This window comes from Homo sapiens, chromosome 7, assembly GCF_000001405.40.
Source record: "Homo sapiens chromosome 7, GRCh38.p14 Primary Assembly".
NCBI lineage: Eukaryota > Metazoa > Chordata > Mammalia > Primates > Hominidae > Homo > Homo sapiens.
The window spans coordinates 159190688-159194334 of NC_000007.14; the positions used below are offsets into that span (position 1 = coordinate 159190688).

A 3647-nucleotide genomic window follows, 5' to 3' on the forward strand; every position below is an offset into this window, starting at 1 on the left:
AGTTCCAGCTACTCAGCAGGCTGAGGCAGGAGAATGGTGTGAACCCGGGAGGCAGAGCTTGCAGTGAGCTGAGATTGCGCCACTGCACTCCAGCCTGGGTGACAGAGCGAGACTCCGTCTCAAAAAAAAAAAAAAAAAAAAAAAGAAAGAAAGAGAAGTCCGGATATTGCCCCTTTACTCTGGTGCAGTCACCTGCATAAGGGAAGGACTGGGGGAGTCAGCGCCATGTGCACCCACCATCGTGGGTCAGGAAGAACTGAAGAGCATCAGCGCCATGTGGACTCACCATCGAGGGTCAGGAAGGACTGGGGAGTCAGCGCCATGGGCATTCGCCATCGTGGGTCAAGCTCCTTCCTCTTGTGGACCTGGCGACTCCTTCAAATCGTCCCCTCACTGGCGTGAGTCTGGAAACTGGGCGAGTCCCTGAGTTGTGCTGGGGTGACCATGACCTGTTTCATTATCGTCCTTATTTTCATTGCATACACTGCATAGTGCCTCTTTTCACTGCCTGTCTGTTTTGCATCCAGCGACACTGTTCTGTTAACCCTCTGTGGATCAGGTTCCCTCAAGGCCACTCCAGCCTTGTCACAGATGAAGATAACTGCATCCACCAGGCTGCTGAAGGCGAAGTGCAGCCATCTAGTCTGTATTGTTCAGGGTCCTTTTGCCCCACAGCTGTCAGAAAGCCTCCCTCGGTGATGGACTCTGCTGCTGGCAGCCCAGCCTGCACGTGCACGGGGAGCCACTGTTTCTCCTGCCACCCGTACATTCCCCTGGGGCTTCCCACGTGCAATGGCCCGGATGTCTGCGTCTTCCCCAGATTCACAGATTGAAGCCCTAATCCCCAGTGTAAATGATATTTGGGGGTGGAGCTTTTCGGAGGTAATTAGGTTCAGATGAGCCCGTAATCGTAAGGCCCCCAGGATGAGATTAGCACACTTACAAGAAGAGGAGGAGACCAGTGTTCTTTCTCTCTCCCTCCTTCTGCCACGGGGAGAAGGCACCCACAGCAGACACCAGAGCTGCTGGCCACCAGAACTATGAGAAATAAATGTTTGTTGTTGAGGCCACCGAGTCCATGGTGCCTGTGACAGCAGCCTTAGCTGATGGAGATGCTGGGGGTCACAGTGTTCCAGCTGCTTGTCTGCCTCAGCCCACTTCCCTGAGCCTGTGAACCCCCTAACGTCGGCACCCTCCAGGGAAGCTCTGGCACAATTTCCACCTCACTTGCTGCAGAGCTTCACGCTTCACTCATAGGGGACAGCCTAGTACGGTTTCCCCATTGCCTGGGGTCCTCTCCTATATTCCACGAGAGTGCTTCCAAGCTGACAAATTCTCCTCATCTGTGGGCCTGGCTTTGACACAACAAACCCAGTGAGGTTGAGGGTTTGCCCTTCTTGGGAGCTGCAGCTTTTGAGATCCAGTCCTGAGATGGGTCATGATTTCCACCTATAGGAGATGAGAGCTGTTTTTTGTTTTTTAAATTGAGAGCCCTTTTCATGCTCCTGGGAGCCCTCTAGGGTTTACACTCAGCTTTTAGTTGCTGAGTAATCACTTCCTTCTTCAAAGGGTTCATCGAAGTTGATAGCAGCCATGAGATTCTGGGCCCTGCTAATTATTATTTCCCGATATTTCTTAAATGTCTTTTATATCACACCTGCTGGTCTGTGATCCCCGCTGACCTCTGGTCCAAGTTTTGATGCTGGTGTGGCTCCTTGTGCCAGGGCCAGTCGCTGCTTCACCTTGCAGTAGGCACCTGTCTCTGGTGGCAGGTGACTGAGCTCCAAGATGACATCCCAGTATCTGTTCTGTTTTACCACTGCTGGTGTGGGCTTCACAGACTTGGCTCCCAGGAAGACAATGACATGGAAAGGATTATGCTGGAGGTTCATTTAGGAGTGCACCTGTGGGAGGGAAGGAAGCAGGGTTGGGCAAAGGAAGAATCTGCCTGGAATGCAGTCTCAACAGAGGCCTCAGCTGACCTATAGAAGCTCTGAAGCTGCAATGATCCTCCCAAGTGGTCCTTAATGTGGGCCTTTCGCTCCCACCTGGAGTGGTCAGTGGACGTAGGGAGCCCAGGAAAAAGGGTGTGGCCTTGGGTAAGGCAGCGTCTTCCTGCCAGGCAATCCCCCAGGGGACCTGGCAGTTGCAGGCCCTCTGCCGACCATGCTTCCAGCAGCTGCAAGAACCCAGGGAGGTCTCAGTGGATCATGACGGGATCTGCAGCACGGGCTAACAAGCCAGGCCCCAGAGACACACACTGTTCCCTTCCCTTCCACGAAGTTCAGAGCCAGGCGTAGCTAGACTACTGCAGCACGAGTGTTGGGTGGGTGGGCACAGGTTCTGCCTGGCAAACGTCACATGCCTTTACCAAGGTGGTGACCATGTGAGTGAGTGCCTTGTGTTTACACTTTGGGTATTTTCTTATTTGTGTTAAACTTCAAAAAATGTGAAAACATTCGAAAGAAGACAGTGTCTCCTGGGATCTGGGCAGCAGGCTGGGTCTGAACTCTCGCTTACCTCTTGTGGATGTTAACACAGCCTGGAATTTCCTGGTTTGTTAGTCAAGGAATACTTTACCCAGGTGCAATCCATCTGCTTTCATTTTTTTAGTCAGTAAATTGGACTCCTTTCTTTTTATCTGCTTGAAATGACTAAAGCAATGTGTGTGTTGTTTTTAGAATGGAAGGCTTTGCATAACGGACACTAACATTATTTCTTTCCAATCATGTTGCAAGTTGCCTGCATGTTGTGTAAACCAAAGAGTGCCTGATACGGGTCTCAATCAGCTTAGAGGTTTATTTTGCCGAGGTTGAGGATGTACTCAGGAGAAAGAGACAGACTGCAGTAGGACCTGTGGCCCATACTTTTTCCAAAGAGGGTTTTGAGGGCCTCAATACCTAAAGGAGAAAAGCAGGCAGGAGGGGAAGGAGGAAAGGAAAAAAAGATTTTTTTCTGTAGAAAAAAATCAGACAAGAAGTTGCATTCTTGTGAGGCTTTGATTAGTGCTCAGTGAATCCACAAGCTGCAGGTGAAAGGAGGGGAGAGGAACAGCGGAGTATGTGGCTGTCTCTCACTCAGTGAATCTGCACTTTGCACGAGATGAAGTACACACAGAGTGGAGGAAGAAGTCGAACAGGCATTCATCTCAGGGTGGGTGGTGGGACAATTTATTGTCCTGCACTCACAAAGATAAGGTGTTAATTTACACTGTCAGGGTGAGAGAGGCCACCTGGGGAGGTCCCTGTTTAACAGAAGGAAAGGGAGTTGTTTGTGGCTCAGTTTCCAAGCTCAACTTTCCCTTTTGGCGTAGTGAGTTTGGGATCTGAGATTTTATTTTCCTTTTGCAGTTGCAATGTACTTATTATCAAAGTTAGGGCATCCATCTACTCCAGAGTAATTTTGCTTTTAGGATGAATCAAAATAATGCCTCATATCTGATATTTTGAAAAGCTCTTCACAGCAAGAAGGAATTTTGCTGATTTTGGAGCAAGAGCGGTGAGAGCAGGATGATCCCAAGTCCTACCCTGTTTTAGTCACTCCAAGAAAAGGTTTCTCACGGAAGAGGAATGAGTCTGTGTCAACTGTTCCCAAGACATCCTGTAGGAGCCCAGAAGGCCAGGAGCCCAGAAGGCCCTGGACATTTT

The 3647-nt window shown here is 50.1% G+C and overlaps 1 annotated feature.

The window, feature by feature from the left end:
* Positions 1127-1626: an enhancer, noted in NCBI's record as "H3K4me1 hESC enhancer chr7:158984505-158985004 (GRCh37/hg19 assembly coordinates)". NCBI's record gives its function as "activates a minimal SCP1, AML or CMV promoter by ChIP-STARR-seq in primed H9 embryonic stem cells {active_cell/tissue: H9 hESC(primed)}" and the evidence as "EXISTENCE:reporter gene assay evidence [ECO:0000049][PMID:30033119]".